Source organism: Homo sapiens, chromosome 3, assembly GCF_000001405.40.
Source record: "Homo sapiens chromosome 3, GRCh38.p14 Primary Assembly".
Classification (NCBI taxonomy): domain Eukaryota; kingdom Metazoa; phylum Chordata; class Mammalia; order Primates; family Hominidae; genus Homo; species Homo sapiens.
In genome coordinates, this window is record NC_000003.12 from 24,272,719 (window position 1) to 24,299,142 (window position 26,424).

A 26,424-nucleotide genomic window follows, 5' to 3' on the forward strand; every position below is an offset into this window, starting at 1 on the left:
TGACATCATATTTCACCTAGCTGTAGTCACTTTTGTTGTGACCATATAAATCATTTCAGATCCTTAGCACTAAGCAATTTCCTTTTCAAACTTCAAATATTCATTCGCAGGATTATTTTACTCTTCCTATGGTCTTTCCTCCTATTAAAGTTCATTGACCCTTCACCTATTTTTAGACCCTCTGGATCCAAAATAGCAAAGAAAATTAAATATTCAGTTTTTTAAAAAACAAATATCAATACTAAGTACTTGTTGGTTTTGACTCAGAGTTTCAGATACCTCAGTATATGACATCATCACCTGGAGCTCCCTTACCCAAATTCTGTTTACAATGGAAGAATCCGTGTGAAGCATTCAAATGTACACGTGCTTTTTCTAATAGAAAGAATGTAACAGGTTGCTATGAATTAAACACACACACACACACACCCACACACACCACAACTCCACTCTTTCTATCCAGGACCTGCCAACAATAATTTTAGTATTTGCAGGAGGCTGTTAACTTGCAAATCTTTCATTTATTTAAGAAATACTGAGTAGCTACAATGTGTCAGGCACTCTGGCACACCTTTAAGTGCTTGGGGTAATTCAGTGGACAATATAGATTTCCCTGCTTCATAGAGCTTACATTCTAACAGGTGTCCATTTGGAAATCTCTCCAATAAGATTAAAGTGGAATATGACATTAATTAATATCTCTTATCATCTACCACAGGGTTATGGTTATAACTGAATAATTAGAATAAATTGTGCCTGTCAGAAAGAGTGGTCCCTGCTCCACAACAAAATGAGAAGAAAAAGGGCAATGATATATATGCACATAATTCCTTAGCTTTAATCTCAAAATCCTAAAGCTTGTGAAGACAGAAAGTTTTTTCATAACTTAGTTGGTGGCAGAAGCTGACCTGATTTCATATGAGTGTTTCATAGTCTTTATTGATCCAACTTAGTGTAAATATTTGTATGCTTCACTGCAGAAATATTCATGTGTTTGCAATGGGGCATTCCCCCAGATGTCACTGGGGTAGAGTTCTACCCATTGCGGTAGAGCACAATACTATCTTCCCGAACCCCCCCACCCCTCAAAAACCCAAGCAAACAAAACTGAATTATTTCTGGCAAGGATTTTGGATAAGGAACTATGGGCCTGTATGTATGTATCTTTTTGAATCTACCAACCATATTTTCTCAGAAAGGCCTATCCTTTATTTTTCTTGCTTTGGGGGTAGGAAAATATTATTTCTTTATGTTGTGATAGCATAAATATTGGTTTGTTCTGTTTTCAGATAACTTTATTTAGCAAAATAGAAAGATTGTCAATCCTCTATTTTTTTTCTTAACATTATGCTCACCTGTGAAATGTGAAACTCAGGCGATACTGACCTGATCTAACAAACTTGTTGCCTAGACATTCATATTCTAGACATCTGCCCTATTATTTATTATACTTCTTTACAATGATCCACTTAAAAAACTGAACTATTATATCACTACCATAAATGGAAAGCCTGTATCACTTGCCATGAATAGCATCTGATGGCACTTACACAGGCCTAATAATGGTATATACTATATTGAAATACTGTTTATATGGACTTAAATTATAGAACGTTCAGAACAGAAAACAAAAAATAAGCAATTAGGGTTACCTAGGGAAGCAAAATAGTGCTATTTTGAAGAGCCTATAGATTCATTTGTGTTCTCTTTCTTTGTGGGTTATATGCATGCACAGTATTACCAAATATTAAAAAATTATCTCAAGAAGCCAGGAATGAGTATGTGTCTAAACACTTTTTATAGCCTTTGTAATGAACAATTTTGGTGACTTTCACTCCTTTCCATTTTCCTTTCCTTCTTTCCCTTCTCTCTTTCTTGTCTATTTCTTTTTTTAAATTATCATAATCAAAAGCAATTATACCTTATATATGACATACAAAGCAGCTCAATTTCACAGGTGTCTGCCTAGAAAAAGTGAAGGGAAGATTCATCTTATTTGGTTCACTACCTCAATGTGGCATTGTTGCTTCCCCAATTGGTGGTTGTTGGTTAATTAAATTTTAAGAAACACTGAGCCTAATAGAAAATTTTACTTCCAGCAAAGGTTTCACTTACATATCACATATATTATTTGCCTTTCTATTTATTTTCTATGAGAGAGACAGTTTTTTTTATGTTGTGTTTTATGAGCTTTGTGTACTTATAAAATGTACAATATCTGAACTCTAAATTATGTGTATGTATGAGAATTTGTGCATTCATCTATTTTTCCTTATCTATCCATCTACTCATCGATTGAAGAGAAAAATGAGAAAGAGCAAAGAAGCAAGTAAGCTTAGTTCTTGATTTACACGGCAGCTTGTTGAAACAGGAACTTTGTATCTTGGGTTTTAAGAAAAACATAAATATTTGTTTGGAAAAAATATAGAAAACAATATATAGCAGTCATTTTTAAATTCACACAAGGATAAATAAAATGTCTTATTTTCTTCGTGCAAAAAAGATTTATAGTCTTGAAAAACTAAAAATTAAATAAAAGTTTTAAAAAAATGCTCTGTGCATTTTCCCAAGGCATTAATAACCACTTCTAAGTTTATGCAACATTAAAATTGGCCACACAAATGGGTCCCACCTTCTTCATCTATTAAATGAAGTTGAAACGAATACTCTCTCAGGACACTCTGAACTTTCTTAAAAATTCTCTGCTTTGAGGGGCCAGCCTACAGTTAGGCACCTTTGTGGCTAATGTATCTGCTGTTTGAAAACTTTGACAGTTTTCTTCTAAGGGGAAGAGGTCAGGGGGAAAAAGCTGACATTTGAGGCAATGGTTTGGAGAGCCATGTTTTGCCACCATCATCATGTCACTGTTTTGGGGGGCCATACTTCTGTTTCTTGTTAGATTCCAACATGAGCGAGATGAAAATGTGTATTTTTGTTTGGGTTTTTGAGAGCCATCCAACTCTGGTTTTTGCCGGCTTCTTTTCTGTCCCCTTCTTTGGACTTTATGAACTGACTGACAGGAGACAGTGAAATGCATTGGCTCTCAGTTCTTGGTGTACAGTTGAATCAATTGAGGACCTTAAAACGCTACATGAAAGACTGGGCTATGCCCTTTGAGATTCTGATTCTACAGTTCAGTTTCACCTCCCCATAACCCTCTACATTTCAAATATGCCCCCTCCAGGTAATTCTGATATACTCCAGAGGCTGAATAACTACTGGATTTTCACACACCACAGGCTTTACTCATTTCCCAGAAACTGAAATGTCCAGGGACTGCAAGAGAAGAAAGAAGTGTGGGAAATCTCCCTGCAGTCTTCTACTTTTTTTTTTTTTTAATAACCTCCTTTCCATGCTCTTGTAGACAGCCTTCTGAGTTAAACCATTATCATACTTGGAGACTCAAGGACAAGTTTAAACATCTATTGTGTATGGCTATGCTAAGTAGTATTGTTTTTAGCAGTTGCTAAATCATTTCCCCAAAATATTGCCAGTTAGTGTATAATAATTGGTATTCACATTGTACAATTGGTTGACGTATGAACTTTTAGGTAACTCATCTGAAAGCATTCACCATTAGCTCTTAATAGTCAATTATTCAGTCATTCATTTATTAACTTAATCGTGAATGCATTCACCAAACATTTATTAAGCACTTTTCAATAGTGCAGTGATTATTAGCAGCCTGAGCTCAGGGATCAAAATTCCAGGGTTCAAACCCAGGTTGCATCATTTCTCAACATTTTTACCTTGAAAAGAGTACCTAATTTTACAAATCTACATTTTGTTATCTGCAAAAGGAATAATGATACAGCCTGCCTCATTGGTGAAGGTATGAGGAAATGAATTTGAAAACTCTTAGCCCAGTGCCTAGGACATAGTGACTGTACAGACATGTTAGCCATTATTATTACCACAATGTGCAAGGCAGGGGACTAGGTCCTGAGGATGCAGTGATGGATACGATTACATGACTTAAGACTGTAGAAGGGAGGAGGCAACACCAATGCTATAACAGACGTGGAGTAAGTGTGCAGAAAACACCTGGTGGACCCAGTGTCTGCTGGGAGTGGGTAGGGGAGGGAAAGTCGTATGTGCTCAGGGAAGCCTGAATGATACGATGTTGGAGCAAAGTGTTGAAGAAAGATTCGTAATCAACTACATTTTATAAAACATATTTACTCTTGTCTTTTATATGATTAAATGTATACCATTTATAAAAGTTATATGCAAACTTCAAAATAAAAAACTACTTAAAATATTTAAGTTTCCAGTAATGATTTAGGAGGAGGGGTATAAGTTCTCAATTCCATGGCTTTCAAAGGCAGAAGGGAAAGCAAATATCTTACACTGGTAACAATCGTAGCTGTCAACGTTGCCATAGAAGAGATTCCTGTGTCAGGGTTGGAAGTTGGTCTGGAACAGTGGTTATCAATTTTGCAATTTTGGGAAGGGAGCAATTTTGCACCTTCCATCCCACCCCAGGGTTCATCTGGCAATGTCTGGAGATATTTTTTATTGTCATGACTGAGGAGCGGGTGCCACGGGCATCTAGTGGGTAGAGGCTAGGGATGCTGCTCAACATCCTACAATACACAGGACACTCTCTCACAGCAGAGAATCATCTGGTTCAAAATGTCAGTAATGCCAATCTAAATCAGTAATATTCAAAATACAGTGTACATCAGAATCACTTGGAGAGCTTGTAGAAACCCACGTCTCTGAGTCCCACCCCCAGAATTTTTGATTCAGTGAGTCTGGAGCAAACCCAAGAATTTGCATCTCTAACAAGTTCCCCGGTGATGCTGATGCTGCTGGTTGGGATCCCATTTTGAGAATGACTGGTCTATATAACTATATATTCCCTCTCAAATCTAAAATCTATGATTTATGTGAGTTTTTTCATCTATACAAGATTTTGGGTGAAAAGTTACCAAAGTTATATTTATGTCATTTACCAACAAAGGTTATTCAGTGAGTTCTAGAAATATGTAGAATTAAGCTAGTTATAAAGTTACCCCAAATTTCAGCTGCTGCCTTCTGGATGCCTTCCCTCAAGAGCTTTCCTGGCCAAAACTAATGTTACATATAAATATGAGGTATAAAGAATTACTGGCAGTCTCTAAGATTCAAGCTTGTTACAATAAATCAGCCCTTTGACATTTATCAAATAATTGATGTTCTCAATTAAGGGGTGACAACATTAATAATGCATTCACCTGCCAATAATTATGGTATGATATTTGCCCCATGCATGGACAGTTTCATTATGCTGGGTTTTTCCTCCAAATAGGCAGAAGTCTAGTTCTGTTCTTCTAATCTGATGAAGGGCTTGGGGATTTAAGGTGGGTTAAAGAAATCCATAATAATGTTAGAGAACAGAAGATATGCAGAAAAATTAAAGGGAACTGAATTACAGATTACACAACAGAAAGATTTGTAATGCCTTGCAAGTACATTTGTTCACTCTCTCACTAATTATTATTTATTTGATAAAATATATGAAGTATATAAAAGCCATAATGATGTCTGGCTAATTTCCATTTTCAGGACTGGCAGAAGCAGGCATAAAGTATGCTATAAAGAAACTGGAAAAGAAATGAGAAATAATTTGAACAGTGTTAAAATTGGTAAGACTTGCTGAGAAGTTATGTAATATATTAAAAATCAGGCAGATTTTATTCTATTTGTGTGGTCTGCAAATGCCTGGCCCAAAAGCAGGGGTATAGAATATTTGACCTCTAGAGCTCTGCTCAGCATCTCCAGGAAAAACCTATTTTTGCTTCTGAATAGAAAGCATAATATTATCATTTATACAAAATGATGACAGATTTTTCACTTACAAAGAACCTAGGATTATAGAAAAGAAAGCCATATCACAACCCTCTATTTAAATTGCAACATTTGAGACAACAAGATTAAAAAAATTACTCATCACATGGTATTGAAATTATCTTTCTACTTCTCTGTAACTGTTTCCAGATTTTTAACTTCTTGTGGGCAAGAACCTTGTCTCAAAATGCCTATAATTCCAGTAACCAGCACAGCACCCAACGTGGCAGCTGCTCAGAACTGCTCACTGATGAATATGCACCATTCATTCCTTACATTTATATTACATTTATTTATTTATTATTTATTTTTAGATACAGGGTCTCACTCTGGGTCCAGGCTGGAGTGCAGTGGTGCTATGTTAGCTCACTGCAGCCTTGAACTCCTGGGATCAAGTGATCCTTCCCCCTCAGCCTCCCAAGTAGTTAGGACTACCGGTGCATACTACCACGTCCAGCTAGTTTTTAAATGTTTCATAGAGATGGGGCCTCACTATATTGCCTAGGCTGGTCTTGAACTCCCGGCTTCAAGTAATCCTCTTGTTTTGGCCTCCCAAAGTGCTGGAATTACAGGTATGAACCTCTATGACTGGCTTACATTTTAATTTTCAACTTTCAAAGAACATAATTTGATTGGTACTTCGATTCCATAAATGGAGAACTGGAACTATTTACAATAGAAAACTTGAACATGTTCGCTTGCCTGAGAGAAAAATAAAAACATCTAATATTGAAAAACACCTGGAAAGTTCATGAGAGAGAAGTGAATCAGTGAAAGAAGCTATGGTTTCTGCAGTCATTCTCGGGCACTCTCTCCTCAAGCATTGCAATGAGTTCTTTTTTCTTTTTTTTGAGACGGAGCCTCATTCTGTCGCCCAGGCTGGAGGTGCAGTGGTGCAATCTCAGCTCACTGCAAGCTCCACCTCCCGGGTTCACGCCATTCTCCTGCCTCAGCCTCCCGAGTAGCTGGGACTACAGGCGCCCGCCACCACGGCTGGCTAATTTTTTTGTATTTTTTTTTTTTTTTAGTAGAGACGGGGTTTCACTGTGTTAGCCAGGATGGTCTCTATCTCCTGACCTCGTGATCCACCTGACTCGGCCTCCCAAAGTGCTGGGATTACAGGCGTGAGCCACCGTGCCCGGCCAAATGCAATGAGTTCTTGTTCTACTTTTAGATCACTTCAAAACTCTGTATTTCATCCTCACATTGCCTTGTAAGACAGTAATTATAACACTGAAAAATTCCTTTTTAAACCTTATTACTCTCCCTTACTTATCTCCTGGTAGGCTTCAAGTACGAGGAGTTCTTAATCTGTGATCCATGGACCATGGTCCCCAAAGGTCTAGGGATAAAGCTCTGCTTCAGTAGAATTAGTTTCCTTTGTTACGTATTTTATCTTACACATTTAAAAGAATTATTCTGTGAAGGGGTCCATAGACTTCACCAGATAGTTAATAGGGTCCAGCGCACAAAAATGGTTACAAACACTTGGCTGCCTTAGCTCAAAGATAATTATTTATTATCTTTCCTTCATAAGCTATAGAACCGGGGGAGGAGCCAAGATGGCCAAATAGGAACAGCTCTGGTCTACAGCTCCCAGCCTGAGCGACGCAGAAGATGGGTGATTTCTGCATTTCCATCTGAAATTTGAAGAGAGCAGTGGTTCTCCCAGCACGCAGCTGGAGATCTGAGAATGGGCAGACTGCTTCCTCAAGTGGGTCCCTGACTCCTGACCCCCGAGCAGCCTAACTGGGAGGCACACCCCAGCAGGGACAGACTGACACCTCACATGGCCAGGTACTCCAACAGACCTGCAGCTGAGGGTCCTCTCTGTTAGAAGGAAAACTAACAAACAGAAAGGACATCCACACCAAAAACCCATCTGTACATCACCATCATCAAAGACCAAAAGTAGGTAAAACCACAAAGATGGGGAAAAAACAGAGCAGAAAAACTGGAAACTCTAAAAAGCAGAGCGCCTCTCCTCCTCCAAAGGAATGCAGTTCCTCACCAGCAACAGAACAAAGCTGGACGGAGAATGACTTTGACAAGCTGAGAGAAGAAGGCTTCAGACGATCAAATTACTCCAAGCTATGGGAGGACATTCAAACCAAAGGCAAATAAGTTGAAAACTTTGAAAAAAACTTAGAAGAATGTATAACTAGAATAACCAATACAGAGAAGTGCTTAAAGGAGCTGATGGAGCTGAAAACCAAGGCTCGAGAACTACGTGAAGAATGCAGAAGCCTCAGGAGCCCATGCGATCAACTGGAAGAAAGGGTATCAGTGATGGAAGATGAAATGAATGAAATGAAGCGAGAAGGGAAGTTTAGAGAAAAAGGAATAAAAAGAAATGAACAAAGCCTCCAAGAAATATGGGACTATGTGAAAAGACCAAATCTACGTCTGATTGGTGTACCTGAAAGTGATGGGGAGAATGGAACCAAGTTGGAAAACACTCTGCAGGATATCATCCAGGAGAACTTCCCCAATCTAGCAAGGCAGGCCAACGTTCAGATTCAGGAAATACAGAGAACGCCACAAAGATACTCCTCGAGAAGAGCAACACCAAGACACATAATTGTCAGATTCACCAAAGCTGAAATGAAGGAAAAAATGTTAAGGGCAGCCAGAGACAAAGGTCGGGTTACCCTCAAAGGGAAGCCCATCAGACTAACAGCAGATCTCTCGGCAGAAACTCTACAAGCCAGAAGAGAGTGGGGGCCAATATTCAACATTCTTAAAGAAAAGAATTTTCAACCCAGAATTTCATATCCAGCCAAACTAAGCTTCATAAGTGAAGGAGAAATAAAATACTTTACAGACAAGCAAATGCTGAGAGATTTTGTCACCACCAGGCCTGCCCTAGAAGAGCTCCTGAAGGAAGTGCTAAACATGGAAAGGAACTGGTACCAGCCGCTGCAAAATCATGCCAAAATGTAAAGACCATCGAGACTAGGAGGAAACCGCATCAACTAACGAGCAAAATCACCAGCTAACATCATAATGACAGGATCAAATTCACACATAACAATATTAACTTTAAATGTAAATGGACTAAATGCTCCAATTAAAAGACACAGACTGGCGAAATGGATAAAGAGTCAAGACCCATCAGTGTGCTGTATTCAGGAAACCCATCTCACGTGCAGAGACACACATAGGCTCAAAATAAAAGGATGGAGGAAGATCTACCAAGCAAATGGAAAACAAAAAAAGGCAGGGGTTGCAATCCTAGTCTCTGATAAAACAGACTTTAAACCAACAAAGATCAAAAGAGACAAAGAAGGCCATTATTTAATGGTAAAGGGATCAATTCAACAAGAAGAGCTACCTATCCTAAATATATATGCACCCAATACAGGAGCACCCAGATTCATAAAGCAAGTCCTGAGTGACCTACAAAGAGAGTTAGACTCCCACACATTAATAATGGGAGACTTTAACACCCCACCATCAACATTAGACAGATCAACGAGACAGAAAGTCAACAAGGATACCCAGGAATTGAACTCAGCTTTGCACCAAGCAGACCTAATAGACATCTACAGAACTCTCCACCCCAAATCAACAGAATATACATTTTTTTCAGCACCACACCACACCTATTCCAAAATTGACCACATACTTGGAAGTAAAGCTCTCCTCAGCAAATGTAAAAGAACAGAAATTATAAAAAACTATCTCTCAGACCACAGTGCAGTCAAACTAGAACTCAGGATTAAGAATCTCACTCAAAACCGCTCAACTACATGGAAACTGAAAAACCTGCTCCTGAATGACTACTGGGTACATAACGAAATGAAGGCAGAAATGAAGATGTTCTTTGAAACCAACGAGAACAAAGACACAACATACCAGAATCTCTGGGACGCATTCAAAGCAGTGTGTAGAGGGAAATTTATAGCACTAAATGCCCACAAGAGAAAGCAGGAAAGATCCAAAATTGACACCCTAACATCACAATTAAAAGAACTAGAGAAGCAAGAGCAAACACATTCAAAAGCTAGCAGAAGGCAAGAAATAACTAAAATCAGAGCAGAACTGAAGGAAATAGAGACACAAAAACCCTTCAGAAAGTTAACGAATCCAGGAGCTGGTTTTTTGAAAGGATCAACAAAATTGATAGACCGCTAGCAAGACTAATAAAGAAAAAAAGAGAGAACAATCAAATAGACGCAATAAAAAATGATAAAGAGGATATCACCACCGATCCCACAGAAATACAAACTACCATCAGAGAATACTACAAACACCTCTACGCAAATAAACTAGAAAATCTAGAAGAAATGGATAAATTCCTTGACACATACACCCTCCCAAGACTAAACCAGGAAGAAGTTGAATCTCTGAATAGACCAATAACAGGATCTGAAATTGTGGCAATAATCAATACCTTACCAACGAAAGAGTCCAGGACCAGATGGATTCACAGCCGAATTCTACCAGAGGTACAAGGAGGAACTGGTACCATTCCTTCTGAAACTATTCCAATCAATAGAAAAAGAGGGAATCCTCCCTAACTCATTTTATGAGGCCAGCATCATCCTGATACCAAAGCCGGGCAGAGACACAACCAAAAAAGAGAATTTTAGACCAATATCCTTGATGAACATTGATGCAAAAATCCTCAGTAAAATACTGGCAAACCAAATCCAGCAGCACATCAAAAAGCTTATCCACCATGATCAAGTGGGCTTCATCCCTGGGATGCAAGGCTGGTTCAATATATGCAAATCAATAAACATAATCCAGCATATAAACAGAACCAAAGACAAAAACCACGTGATTATCTCAATAGATGCAGAAAAGGCCTTTGACAAAATTCAACAACACTTCATGCTAAAAACTCTCAATAAATTAGGTATTGATGGGACGTATCTCAAAATAATAAGAGCTATTTATGACAAACCCACAGCCAATATCATACTGAATGGGCAAAAACTGGAAGCATTCCCTTTGAAAACTGGCACAAGACAGGGATGCCCTCTCTCACCACTCCTATTCGACATAGTGTTGGAAGTTCTGGCCAGGGCAATTAGGCAGGAGAAGGAAATAAAGGGTATTCAATTAGGAAAAGAGGAAGTCAAATTGTCCCTGTTTGCAGATGACATGATTGTATATCTAGAAAACCCCATTGTCTCAGCCCAAAATCTCCTTAAGCTGATAAGCAACTTCAGCAAAGTCTCAGGATACAAAATCAATGTACAAAAATCACAAGCATTCTTATACACCAGTAACAGACAGAGAGCCAAATCATGAGTGAACTCCCATTCACAATTGCTACAAAGAGAATAAAATACCTAGGAATCCAACTTACAAGGGATGTGAAGGACCTCTTCAAGGAGAACTACAAACCACTGCTCAAGGAAATAAAAGAGGATACAAACAAATGGAAGAACATTCCATGCTCATGGGTAGGAAGAATCAATATCATGAAAATGGCCATACTGCCCAAGGTAATTTACAGATTCAATGCCATCCCCACCAAGCTACCAATGACTTTCTTCACAGAATTGGAAAAAACTACTTTAAAGTTCATATGGAACCAAAAAAGAGCCCGCATCGCCAAGTCAATCCTGAGCCAAAAGAACAAAGCTGGAGGCATCACACTACCTGACTTCAAACTATACTACAAGGCTACAGTAACCAAAACAGCATGGTACTGGTACCAAAACAGAGATATAGATCAACGGAACAGAACAGAGCCCTCAGAAATAACGCCACATATCTACAACTATCTGATCTTTGACAAACCTGAGAAAAACAAGCAATGGGGAAAGGATTCCCTATTTAATCAATGGTGCTGGGAAAACTGGCTAGCCATATGTAGAAAGCTGAAACTGGATCCCTTCCTTACACCTTATACAAAAATCAATTCAAGATGGATTAAAGATTTAAACGTTAGACCTAAAACCATAAAAACCCTAGAAGAAAACCTAGGCATTGCCATTCAGGACATAGGCATGGGGAAAGACTTCATGTCTAAAACACCAAAAGCAATGTCAACAAAAGCCAAAATTGACAAATGGGATCTAATTAAACTAAAGAGCTTCTGCACAGCAAAAGAAACTACCATCAGAGTGAACAGGCAACCTACAGAATGGGAGAAAATTTTTGCAACCTACTCATCTGACAAAGGGCTAATATCCAGAATCTACAATGAACTCAAACAGATTTACAAGAAAAAAACAAACAACCCCATCAAAAAGTGGGCAGAGGACATGAACAGACACTTCTCAAAAGAAGACATTTATGCAGCCAAAAAACACATGAAAAAATGCTCACCATCACTGGCCATCAGAGAAATGCAAATTAAAACCACAAAGAGATACCATTTCACACCAGTTAGAATGGCAATCATTAAAAAGTCAGGAAACAACAGGTGCTGGAGAGGATGTGGAGAAATAGGAACACTTTTACACTGTTAGTGGGACTGTAAACTAGTTCAACCATTGTGGAAGTCAGTGTGGTGATTCCTCAGGGATCTAGAACTAGACATACCATTTGACCCAGCCATCCCATTACTGGGTATATACCCAAAGGACTATAAATCATGCTGCTATAAAGACACATGCACACATATGTTTATTGCGGCATTATTCACAATAGCAAAGACTTGGAACCAACCCAAATGTCCAACAATGATAGACTGGATTAAGAAAATGTGGCACATATACACCATGGAATACTATGCAGCCTTAAAAAAGGATGAGTTCATGTCCTTTGTAGGGACATGGATGAAATTGGAAACCATAATTCTCAGTAAACTATCACAAGAACAAAAAACCAAACACCGCATATTCTCACTCATAGGTGGGAATTGAACTATGAGAACACATGGACACAGGAAGGGGAACATCACACTCTGGGGACTGTTGTGGGGTGGGGGGAGGGGGGAGGGATAGCATTGGGAGATATACCTAATGCTAGAGGACGAGTTAGTGGGTGCAGCACACCAGCATGGCACATGTATACATATGTAACTAACCTGCACATTGTGCACATGTACCCTAAAACTTAAAGTATAATTAAAAAAAAAAGCCATAGAACCAATTTCTGATGCCATATTAATCTTATTTTCTCCCAAGAATACTGGCCATTTAACCCTAACTACCTGGTAACTTCCTATGTCTCAAATTTAACTAAAATGCCCAAGAAAACAGTGCTTCTGCTATCATATAAACAATTGCTAAATTATACCTATTCTTAACCTAGAGTAAAAGTGATTTTGCATTACATTGATTCCTAAGGTTAGAGTCTTTTTAGTGCTTTATAATGTTCACTTGGAGGGTTATGCCTTGTTATAGGCTAAATGTTTGTGTCTTCCTCTGCCCAAATCCACATGTTGAAGCACTAACCCCCAATGTGATGGTATTTGGAGGTAGGGCCTCTGGGCGGTAGTTGGGTTAGATTAGGTCTGAGGGTGGGACCTTCATGATGGGATTAGTGCCCTTATGTGAAGATGAAGATGGAGAGATTTTGCTCTTCATACATATGCACCAAGGAAAGACCATGTGAAGGCATAAAGAGAAGACAACCATATGCAAACCAGGAAGTGGGCCCTTACCAGACAGTGAATCTGCTGATACCTTGACCTTGGACACCCAAGCCTCAAGAACTGTGAGAAACAAATGTTTGGTGTATAAGCAACCTAATCTATGATATTTTGTTACAGCAGCCTGAACTATGACATACCTCTTCCCATTTAGAAGCCTGTATTGGCAAAACAGCTTCAACAATACCAACATGCTTTCATAAAACAATAACTTTCTAAGGAAAGCATTATATTTTTTGTACTCTTTTTAGCTTGGTTCAAGAAGATATTCATAGTTGGGAGGAAAGAAAGAAATCCCAGACATGCTCCATTTCTTCACCGTTCAACCCTGTCACCATCATTGGCTAAGAGGCAAGAGAGGAATTTTGTACATAAGAGACTTAATGCATATGGTTTAAGATTTCAGCCTCAACTGTTAGGTTCTTCTCCAAACATCTCAAAAATCTGCATTTGGACAAACAGCTAGATGGCTTGTAGATATAGCTGAAGAATGTTGATCCACTCTTAGGCTGAGGACACTCAATTCAAGCTCGACGCATTTCACTAGCAGCTTTGTTTATTCATGTTGAAACTCAGTTTCAAAGCCCAGTAACCATAGTATGACTAGATAAAATAGAAATTTTATGTCAAAGTTTTCTCATTGCAACATCTCCTTCTATGAAAACACTATTTTTTTAATACCTTTCTTTACCTTTATTTCTCTGAGGAGCAAGCATGTGGCAATGAGAAGGGCATGTGCTACATTTTCTCACCGTTAGCCTGGGCGGCATGGGGTTCCAAGAGGAACACGAGAGTGGGGCTTAAAATGACCCTTCTCACTTTTAAGTGAGATGTGCTTGTGTAAAGTAAGAAGTTGAAGATCAAGTTAGACAGAAGTTGAAGTTGGGTAAATTCCAAGGAATAAAATTTAACATTCACAGATAGGTACTCAAGCAACCTTTTGAAGGCCCCAAAGCTTGTGGAAATCCAGGCTTTTGCAGAGTTTCAGAATATCTACCACCACTTGCAGACCCAATGCAGTGGGTTCTACATAGATATCTTACACACATTTCCTTTTCATATTCTTTCCTTTGCCACTGAATAACTCTGTTCGTCCCCTACCCAGCGCCTTCAGCTTTACCCACTCTCCTTTAAGCAGATCTGAGACCTGCACATTTACCTTAAAAATCAGATTCCTAGGGCTACAAGGACTTAAAAGACTTCAATTTAGGTCTTGATTGATCAAAAACAGAAAAAGAACCTGCAGTTGGACTGTATGTTTGTCACAGTATTTTTATGTGCATTATTTTATTTAAACTTTCATTCATTTTATGAGCAATGTAGGCCAAGAGTGGCTTTCCCAGCCTAGAGAAGAAGAAAATCAGTTCTAGTGAAGCATAACTTGTATGAGGCCACTGTCCTTTAGTTTGTAAGTGAGATGAGAGTTGTTCTGGGATTCTGATATCCTGAAAAATGCTCTTCCAGCTCTTCCTGGTCAACTTGAAAGGGAGAGAAGAAAACTAACTTTCAACAGGAGCGTTGTCCCAGCTTTCTGCAATTCTAGAGAATGTTTGAGAATCTTTATTATGACAGCATTCTTTTGATGGCCTTTAAAATGTTTTTGGGATGATGTGGGGAGCAGGAAAGTTTGAAGGCAGAACCTGATGTTGCATTGTAGGAACACAATTCAAATGTAGGCTCCTGGACTGATTAGATCCAGTTCACTTTCTATTGTCAAATGATAAATTCCCACCCTACTTTGGCATGAACTTTAAAAGGAAACACCAGTAGCCAAAGGCCAAGAAGAGAAAGGAACAACATTTACTCATATAAATAGTGAACACTGCCAAGCACAGAATTTACTGTGCACTTGTCTTGGATTTTCTCCACATTATAGCTTCACAAAAGCTGTGGTTCCAAAGTTGCACTGAATAGGATTCTGATTTGGTACATTAACACATCATGATACCAGTAGCACCTGATACGTGACTTCCTCTAGGTTTTAAGAGCATCTTTTATTCTGTCCCAAATATAGAAGGCAAGTTTTCTACCAAGTGGCCGGAGCAGGACAAATTGTGACCCAAGGTAGTAAAAGGAAGGCTGGGTGAAGGCCAAGATGTGGATGAAGACAGCCAGTGGCTGGAAGCCCAGAGAAGTCTCAGTTCCTGGCCTTAACAAGAAATGAAGTATGATTGGCAGCTGCAGAGCCAGGATTTCTAAACCAACATTGTGAGTTTTCCACCGTCTACATCTGAACTATTTACACATTCCATACTACCTAGAAAATAGGCTAACCTGTTGTTCTCAGCTGAGAGTTGTGCTTGGACACAAAATTCTAGAACTAGGTTCTGCAGGATTCTGTCTACTTTCTGTGAGTATGTGACTGCTCTTTTTTTTTAACCCCTTGTTATTTTTTGGCTGAGGCTGTCCTCCATTAATAGATTTAATACCTGTTTATTTCCACTGCTATTAAAAAATTTTTCTGAAGGCTGCCAAAGGATGTTTTTACCGTGTTCCCAGCAATGAATAGTCCTGTCTTTTTCTGCCGATATAAGCAAGCCTGTGATTGACTGCCAAGACTTAAAATTCCCGGGTTGAATCAAGTACACTAAAGCAGTGTTTTTCAAACTATGGGTCCCAACACATAAGTGGGTTGTGAAATCAATTTAGTGGGTAGCAAGCAGTGCCTTTTAAAAAATGAAATGAAGTAGACTGGAAAGCGTCAGTTCACTGCGTTTCTTAAGAGTTAGGATTGTTTTGTGAAACTTTTGTTTGATTTACAAACACACACCATTTGTATGCTTGGTCGTTATGTAAAATGTATTTCTTACTGTGGGCTGTGGTCATCAATTGGAAAGCCACTGCACCAAAGCAATGCCAGAAACACTGAAAGAAGTGACTTGCTTAAGGAAATAAAGCCCTTCTGATTTCTGACTGTTGTCCAGAGTGCTGGCTAAGAAGAGGGAGGGGATGAGGAGCCTCATGAAAAATGGACAAGAGCCCAGTGTGGGGTTTCAAGCCAGAGCTTGCTGGCCAAATGGGAAGGCTGGCAAGTGGACAGACGAGGGCTTCATTACTGCTGCCTATTAGCTGCATGAATACTAAGGAATTTTTAAAGAAATGAAACACGTAGGATTTAAAGCACCAACAAGATCTTTAGGTAGACAACTTCACTATGAGAAAGATGTTTCATAAACTGTATCACAAATTTCTAAATGTTTAGTAAAGACAAACACAAGTTCAAATGTGCTTGGATGCATATTCTTTTAGGTTAAAACATAAAAAATTGCCAACATTCAGTCATTTTAACCTACAAAAATGGCAATTTTATATAGTTTTCCCTTCAAAGAGATTGCATTCCATTTTTTTTTCTTCAGGTAAATAGCAAGTTCATCAGTGTCTACTCATCCACTTACCCATCTACCTATCTATCCCTCTATCAGTCTTTTCTTTTTTTGGAGTTGAGGAGGGAGGGACCAAGAACTAAAATACAAGTTGCCTTTCAGAAATGACGTGAAAATTAAAATACCACTTGGCTTTTTATTATAGCAGCTACTCAAAGAAAACCTAATTATTTCGAGGAGTCTGTTTCTTGGTTAGTGGATATTAATTGCAGCCTAGGCTAAAATATCGAAAAGGCTGTCACATTTTTTCTTTCATGAAATCTCTCTAACATATTTTTAAATACCTTGAGGCTGAAGTCAATCTCCCTACTTACTGACATGACTAAAAATTCATTATATCTATATGTATACCTCAGAGTATTGGGATGTTCCCTATCATGGTGACAAACCTAAAATCTCTTCACCTTTACTTATAGATTCCCCCATCCCCAGCAAAGGCCTCCAGTGTCTTTCATGAAAAACCTCCTTACTTTTAAAGTCAATGCCTAGCTCCTCTCTTCTGATTTTTAACTGTGGCAGACAACATTTACTCTTCTGGGCATTATTTCCTATAGAAAAGAAATGAATTAGGTTGTGCTTTCCCTGTTTCCTCAGCCACCCAGAGACATGTTTGCAAGGCAATAAAGTTTTCCATAGTGTCTGAGCTGCAAAAAATGAGCCAAGAAAAACCTCAAAACACTAGCAGAAAGAAAAATATTTGGTGCTTAGTTACGTTTCTTTTGAGATATGAAGGGGTGGGGTTGGGGGGATAAATCTTTCAGGAAGTTTACTGGGTTACTTTAATTAAATGCAAGGCCTGTCTCTCTCTTGGGCCATACATTTGGAGTGTCTGCCTGCCATGTTCTGCAAACAACGGAGAGGCACCAGGCCGAGACCCTCTTTGGGCCTATCTGAAATGTCTGAATTAACACGGGAGACATCTTATAAACAAAATGTTCTCTCCAGTGAGCATCATATCCTGGGCATGTTCACTGTAAACTTCAAAAACTATACTCAGCATTTTGAAACAAAATGATTATGAATCAAAGTTCCTCCCTAGTTATATTCAAAGGACTTTGGTCATTAAAGTTTTGATTCTCTGACAACTCAATTCAGTTTCTCCTCCAAGAGACACGATGCACAATCAAGTGGTTAAAATACCTTAATTAATTAGATATTAGGGGAAGAAATGTATTTTTCTGACAAGAAGCCTGATTTTTCTAGCAATTGTTGATCCTGGGATGGCATTAAAATCAGTCACAGCAGCAGAATTGCATAGTAATGACTAACCTTGAAACCTTTTTCTTGGAAACCCCAAAGCAGTCGTCTAGCCCTAGAAGCTAATATTTTTCTATGCTCTGCCAGGCATGAAATAAAATACCTTAAAATAATTCTTGGAATTTTCTTGACTAACTTGACTATAGGGAGGTGGCATCTGTTACTCAAGTAAGATGTCCTGTTCTCATGAATTTCCGTACCAAAGAGAAGTGGTTCAGGCAGATCAACAGAGCCCAGGCTTTGGGACTACAGAGGACTGTGCTTAATTAAGCAAAAAACACTAATTGATCCCCTCCAACTGCCCTCCCATTTTCCTTAATGTACCTTTCCACACCTTACCACCTGAGAGCGTTACCCAAAAGAGAGATCCACAAAATAGGTTCCTGTTACAGCCTTCCTCTCACAATAGGAGATTAGAAGCCAAGTTGTACTTGAAATTTGTAATTTGGATTTAGTAAACTAAATTCCTATGATGCAGCAGTTTAAAGACTTTAGAAGAAAGACACAGAAAATGGGAGGCCTTTTGAATATTGAGTCCTGCCACTTCCTTTTATTAGCAAATGACACAGGGCTCTGCCTAGACATATTTAAATATAAAGTGCAAACTCCTCTTTGCTTTCAAAGCTTCATCAGTGTTTCTGTGCGCACATGAGTTATTGTCCATTGTCCCTTGGCATCTGTGGAGGACTGGTTCTAGGACCTCCCTTGGACACCAGAGATGCTCAAGTCCCTTATACAAAAGGGTGTAATATTTGCATAAAACCTACAGACATTCTCCCATATGCTTTAAATAATCTCTAGATTACTTATGATACATAATGCAATGTAAATGCTATGTAAAGAGTTGTTATACTGTATTGTTTAGCAAATAACAATAAGAAAAAAGGTTTATACATGTTTAGTATGGATGCATTTTTTTTCCAAATATTTTCAATCCATAGTTGGTTGAATCCATGGATGCAGAATCCATGGATATGGAGGGCTGACTCTACATTTCTTGCAAAATATAACTGGGGCTCTTTTGCACATTGTCAACAAGACTGCAAATTAGTCCAACATTTTGGCAATATCTGACAAAATTCCAAATGTACATGCCTTTTGACACTGTGATTCTACATCTTGGAATTTATCCTGCAGACATAGTCATTTATGTAAATATATATGTATATATATATGTTCATTGTAGGTTTTATGAAATTGCAACATTCTGGAAATAACTTAAATGTCCATTAACAGAAGACTCAGTAAATAAATTTTGGTACATCTAATCATTCAATGGACTAATATGTGGCTGTTGAGAAAAAAGAGTAACATAAAGTGAAAGTTATATAGAGAGGTATGAAAAGGTGCCAAATTTTATTATTTAAGGAAAAAATTTAATCTGTGTTACATACAATGTGTGTGCACATGTTTGTACTATGTCTGCAATATTTCTGGTAAGGTATACAAGAAAATGAAAAAATGCAACTAGTGGTCACCTACAGGGAGTAGGGCTGGAAGATAGGGAGGGGGCCTTCTACATTTCATTTTATATCCTTCTGAACTGCTCAATGTTATTACTATTTTTACCATAAACATGGATTGCTTTTACTAAAATGCTTTTTTAAGTGCTCCAGGGCCATAGTAGCTGTAAAAATTAAGTCTTTCAGTCCCCAGAAGCATCAGGGACACATCCAATTCTAATATTTATATTTTTAGATGGTGGCAAGGCTCTGAACTGAGATGTAGGTGCTGACCCCAAAGTGTGCTGTGCTGGTGCCGTCCTCTAAGCTCCCTGTCCTCTCCACTGTGTGCATCACCTTGTTTCAAGCCCTTCTCCCTGGCTCGACGTTAAGCTTCCTGCTGGGGGTCAGGAACCATCTTGTCCTCATTAATGACTTCCTGGTTCTCAGCACTGTGCCTGGCAAATAGTGGACTCTCAATAAATCTTGTCGAGTAAAGAAGTCAGTGGTCTCATTTCAACTACAGTTCTAACAGGATAATTAAATGTTAGAGTTAAGAAAATCAATAACAATAATAGAATGCTATAACCAAGGGATTTTAGCTGCATGTTTGGACCAGATCCCTCGGCTCCTGGGCCCTCTCACTGATCTATGGCAAGGGAATCTTGGACTATACAAAACATTGGGGTCCCATAAACTACACTGAGGCATTTCAATGAAAAAAAACAGAACTTTGGCTAAAGTTAAAAAAGTTTAATTTATTTAAAATTTAGTCAATTTTATCAATTTTCTAAAAATAGCATTTGATAGAATTTCTCAGCTGCAAAGTTTTTGTTTGTTGCTCATAATTTTTTGCACCTGCTACCACTCACTGGTCTGTCCCAGAATCAAGTATAAAATATAAGCTGGTTTTACCCAAAATTAGGCATGTTACTTTTAAAAGTTCCTGGCCATCATCATTTTGGGGTGGTCTGAAAGGGTATCACGACTTCTACAAGCTCTGATACCTGAATGAATTTGAGAATGTTGAGACGTGTTGATCATTAAGCTATTGAGCTTTCCCTAGAATGTGGAGTCACCCATCCCAGTATCATTCAATCATACTGCAGAGTTCTCCCTTCCTAGGCTGTGCCCCTAGCAAGAGAAAGAAATGAAAATCATAGAGAAAGGAATGAAAATCAACTAGAAATGCCTTTCCCCTTCTTACTAAGAAAACTCTAGCTCATTATGGTAATCTGTCATTTTATTTAAAATTATATACTATGTCAAACATGCAAAAAAGAAAAGAAGACAATATTGCAAAATCCAAGGACATGCTACCTCAATTAATCAAATTGTATCATTTTGCCATAATGCTGAATGTAGTGTTTATCTGTCCCATGAACATTTTTATTCTGTTACAAAGGTACAGTAATCTATTCTTTTACCAACTAAAACTTTCAATAAAATGAGGCCAGATGAATTCAGTTCATTCAAATGGAATTTGGGTATAGGGTATAATTTCCTGAGCATGGCCTGATTACATTCCCAAAGGCCATCTAGGGTAGGGAGGCTTAACTAAAATAGGCTGTGTCCAGGTTGTGATCAGTGCGGCAAAGCAGATGCCATTGTGGCGGCTGCAGCATCAAGTTTAGTTTAGACTCACTGTTAATTACCCACCCTACTCAGACTCTTTCTTACCAACCATCTTGTTTTCCTTCAGAGTCTGAAAATGCCTGGTACTTGGATTTCCAGTGTGGTAGATTGTTTCCACAAATGGCTGCAATAATCACTGCCACCCTGCATGTCTCTGGCAATGTGACTTTGCCATTCCTTTCATCAAGAGAAGTGGACTCCTTCTCAATTGAGCTGACCCTGCGGCTTGCTTTGATCAACAGAGTGCATAAGTGACACTGTGTGGCTTGAGACTATGTTTTAAGAGGTTTTGTAGTTTCCACTTTTATACTCTTTTGGAAACCAGCTACCATGTAAACAGTCAGACCATCCTGAGGCAGCCATGCTGTGAGGAAGCCCAAGCTAGCTAAACGGAGAGACCACGTGAAGAAAGTTAGATGCCTGGCCAACCCCCAGGACATCCTGGATGTTGTAGCTCCAGCAGATGCCATGTGAAGCAGAAATACCACATTGCTGAGCCCAGCCCAGACTGAAGAATCATGAGAGGTAAAAAATAGTTGTTTAAAGCCACTAAGTTTTAGAGTGATTTGTTACACATTATTGAGTAACTGACTCACCCAACCTCCCTTAATGCTAAGGTATGAGCCCATGACCCAATTCTGGGCAATTAGATGTAAGAGGCAGTTTGCTAGAGGTAGTATGAGGAGGGTTTCTGGAAGAGATATTTTCCTTCCTGTAATGAAGACACATGTGACAAGACACTGCTTCTCTTTTGGTCTTTGGATGTGGCTGTGTGAACATATGCTGCCTAGAGAGGTGACTCTGAGCGGACAGCCTGGGAACAAAAGGCAACACGGAGACAATAGTAGGGCAACAAGATGGAGGGCACCTTGATGACCTGTCATGCCACCCAATTAACTAAATTAAACCCACTACCTTGGAGTTCCTGCTTTGTGAAGGAACTCCATTAAGTCATTTTGGGTCTAGAATTCTGTATTTCAAGTCAAATGACACAAATCTTATTTGTTTGACTCTAGGGACTAGCAAGGAAACTTTCCCTTAATGCTAGCAGCATGCTGCTTTCTAATAATACACTGGCTCTCAGCACAATCATCCAAGGTGCTAAAACAAACAGGATAGAGATGTCTTCACTGAAATGTAAGAAATCACCTGTGAATTCAATAAAATCCATGTTAGCTTTCTGAAATACTATGTCCAAAAATGTCCCTGTAACTATGATACCAACTCAAATTCCTCACACAATTATATTTTAAATGCTGTCCTAGGTCTGAAAACTCACCACCTGGAAACCAGATTTAAATATATAACGGGGGCTGATATTCTTTATAGGAGGTCAAACATAGGCACAGCATTGTATTATCGAAACTAGCTCAAGATAGAAATATGAAAAAACATTTCACAACATTTGGAAAAGCCAAGTAATTAATATCTAAAGATGGTAAGTGATAGCCCTAACCACATGCATGTATACTTCGAAGATGCAAGAAGGTACATTTTTCTTTGGGGACTATTTTACTACACAATAATACAGTATAGGATTACTAGGGCAGGCATTTAAATAGGCACAAATGTGTGCATCTGAGGTTATTGATTAGTATGCAACTGCTTCACCTGACATTAAATTGAGTGATTGAATGGTACTTTTTACTGTGACATAACTTAGTGTTTTGACTTAAGTACAAAGACAAGTTTTTGTTCAGAAGTTAAGTTTTCCACTTAAGACAATTATTGTGCCAGGAGTTTTTTGCTTGCAAATTTTATTTCAGTAAGTTTGCCTGTATAACACTACTTAATGGCTACTCTGCACTTTTGAATTCAATTGAAACTTGTTAGCCCTCTTCATTTTCTTTGGCTTAGGAAAACCCCGTATCACAGAGTGTTAATGAGGCCAGCTTGGGGTTCCTGAGGCTTGGGTCTCAGGTCTAGGCCAACTATGTATGAATCCTTGGGTCAGTCACTGAACTTCTCCAGCTGTCAGGTTCCCTATCTGTAAAGCGATGGAATTTATCAAGCACTGTCCAATAGAACTTTCTGTGATAATGTCAATGCTCTACATCTGCACTTTCCAATATGGGAGCCATTAGCCCTGTGTGGCTACCAACCATTTAATTTTATTTAATTTTATTAATTTACATTTAACCACCTTTGGCTAGTGGCTGCAGTAATGGACAGCACAGATAGGTGATCTAGGTCCTTCTGATCTAAAGATTATTTGCTCCTCCTACCCCAAATTTCCACTTAGTTTTCTCTTTCCTACATTTGCCTCTGTAACAACTCTCCAGTCTTTTTATTTTACTTAGAATTAAAGGTCAGATATGCCTTTATTGCCATTCCAGCCTAGAGTCAAGAGCTTAGAATTAACTATAAGCATTAACCCACTTCTTGAAATGGAGAAAAGGACCAGCTCTCAGAGGCTCTTTGATCTTCCATTAGAGCTCAGTTGGAGAGTCAAGAGTTATTTGGATGGAATAAGATCTGACATTTATTGAGTCAAAAGGCAGCGTTGATGTGGCTTCCTATTTTAGGATAATGTCGGCTTCGGTTAGAAGCTTGACTTCCCAAAGCTCCTGCTAATAAATATGGCCACATTGTTAGGACGGGCAATTCTTTTGCAAACACCGTCTACTGCAATTACGTGGTGTGACCCCTACTATGTGCCAAGGCACAGGACTGAGTTCAGAGGCTGAGAATATGAGTAAGTTTCCCTCCAGTAATAAAAGCCTAGGTCTAACAGAAGAGCCTGACCAGAAGATAAATATTTATAACACACTGTGACACATCCTATGACCAGTACAGGAACAAAAGTGCTGTAAGAGTACAGAGAACAGAGCAAGCCCTGTCCTCCTTTCTGGTGAGCCGGGAGAGCATAAAGGAGGTATCCTGTGGAGGGTGATCAGGAGTTAACTCCAGCACCAAGGAGGGGGAGGATGTTCCTGGCAGAGGAGCATGGCTCCTTAAGGGATGTCAGTTAAATAGGGCTATCCACACACTTTAGGTTTGAGTTTCAGGGAACTCAGCAAGAACTGAGTACTGATTTTGTGACTTCCTGCCGAAGAGCCCTTTAGCAAGGTGATTTCTCAAATAGGTAAAATGATTCAAACTTTGGGTTCTGAATCTTTGTTGATTTCAAGGAGCAACTTTCACTTCCTTCATAAACAATGAGTGGCCCTAGTACTTCTAACCCCATTTAACTCTACCCGTATAGTATGAGAAATCACAAGGCATATCTGAGGGAAGACATCTTTTGAAGGCACTGAATGCCAGGTAGTATCCATGGGTTAGAAAGGAGACAATGAATTAATAAGAAGTGTAAGTGATGAGTGAGTAATAGGAAGCATAAATTTTTCCATCAAAACAACCATTTCTTATCACCACACAGACTGAATCTTGGAATACATACCTTACTTCCAACAGTCTACTGCTAACCTCTTTGAATAACAGGCTTTCAGTCTTCAAGACGTTTGTTTTTCTGCATTTCCTCTTCCTACAGTGAAGTCACTGGGGGCAGATGAAATATAAAATGCTGGAGTTTGCCTCTCTGGCGAGCTGCAGAAAGGAATTTCTGCATTATTGTGATCATCTATTTCATTGTAGCACTTAGTTGCTTTTACAAAGCAGTTCTCCTGTCCTTGCCCCTGCCATTTAGAAATTTACAGGCTAAAAAGATGGTGATGACCCAGACGAGTTATGAAGGCCCTATAAACAAATGCATACTCATTACAGAAACATATAGTAAGCACTTGCCTTACGTGGCATCCACAGGCCAGGGAAATGGTGGGATGCTGGCGGCTTCGTCTTGAGGCAGTTAAATGATGTGAGGTTCCCTCACTGTTCTCGCCTGCTGTTAAGTAGCTACAACAGACTTCCAAACTCCTTCCCTCTGTTTTAGAGAGCTGTTCCACACTTGATGCTGCACATTATAATCACCTGGGAGCTTTAAAAAACCTGGATGCTCGGGTCACACATCCCAGACCAATTAAATCAGAAGCTGTGGGTTTGGACCCAGCCCATAATGCATTTTAAATGCCTCAGGTGATTCCAACTTGTAGCACGTGTAAGGGCCCGTGCTTTAGACTTCAGAGCAGTGGCTCCTAACTTTTGAATTTAAAAAATACATATTTCTAGGCCCCACCCCAGATCTACTCAATCACCATCTCTGGGGGGCAGATTTTCATGTTACTTTCTAATAAACTCTTAGGTCAGTTTGATTCCAGCCCTTAGTTGAAAACCTTGTTCTAAAGCATCGAATTTCTATTTCTTCTTTAATGTTGTGCATATGAAATGTGAGAAAATGAAAATAGGTCCGTTAAAGACTACATAGAGGATATTTATTTATTTATTTTGGTTTCAACTTTTTATTAAAGTGTCACATACTTAAAAATAGACACATGCAGAGATTGAAAGTGAGTGCCTTGAGAAAGGATCACAAATTGTGTCACTGGCACCCAGATCAAAAATCTGAAGCTTACCAGTCCCCTACAATCCCTCCCTTCTAGGTACTATCCACGCCCCATGGGAACCACAAACCTGATTCTAACATTTCTCCCACCTGAAGTTTTATTTGTTCCAATTCGGTACAATTGCAGTAAAGTTGACTTAATTTCATGCAAATAATTATTCAGATATAATTAAGAGGCCAATAGTATTTTGAGGACAAATGGCCTAACACATCTTGTATTGCATTTGTTTATGATTATTTTAAACAAGGAAGAAGAAAACGAGGCCAGGAAGAAATACCGTCTCTGATTTTCATAGATTGTTAGTTACTGGGTACAATTTTCAAATACTTTTTACCCTAAGCCTTGTAACAACTCTGTACAGATAAGAATTATCGTCATCTCTACTTAACAGATGGAAAAATAGAGCCTTAGGGAGGAAGTGAATTGCCAAGATTTGGCCTCATGTTCCTCTTACATGGAAGGCCTTTCCCTCCATTGCTGCATGCACACCGTCTCTCACCTTTGTAACCTCCTGTAAGAAATCAGCATGAAAAAGGGTCTCTAGACATGATTATGGATTGTGACTCATTTGATTGTTTTTTAAAAATTCATTCCAAAATACTTTATGAACTATAGTTCTCAAATCACATAGATAAGTTTTTTAAGTTAATATTTTTTTTTCTGCTTAGAAAAGTAATTCAGGCCGGGCGCGGTGGCTCATGCCTGTAATCCCAGCACTTTGGGAGGCCCAGGCGGGCGGATCACGAGGTCAGGAGATCGAGACCATCCTGGCTAACACAGTGAAACCCCGTCTCTACTAAAAATACAAAAAAATTAGCTGGGCGTGGTGGCGGGCGCCTGTAGTCCCAGCTACTCGG

The 26,424-nt window shown here is 38.9% G+C and overlaps 1 protein-coding gene across 53 annotated transcripts in view; it reads right to left on the minus strand.

The window, feature by feature from the left end:
• The window catches only part of THRB (thyroid hormone receptor beta), a 378,556-nt gene that overhangs the window by 155,566 nt on the left and 196,566 nt on the right, over positions 1 to 26,424 (minus strand). For 19 of the 53 annotated variants that reach the window (XM_047448794.1, NM_001354710.2, XM_047448799.1 and 16 more), the window contains one exon: positions 24,508 to 24,653. The exons of 27 other annotated variants lie outside the window; for them this stretch is intronic. The gene's annotated coding sequence lies outside the window, so the exon portion shown is untranslated. The remainder of the gene's footprint in view (positions 1 to 24,507; positions 24,654 to 26,424) is intronic. 7 more of the 53 variants (XM_047448801.1, XM_047448796.1, XM_047448802.1 and 4 more) reach the window with 1 other exon arrangement.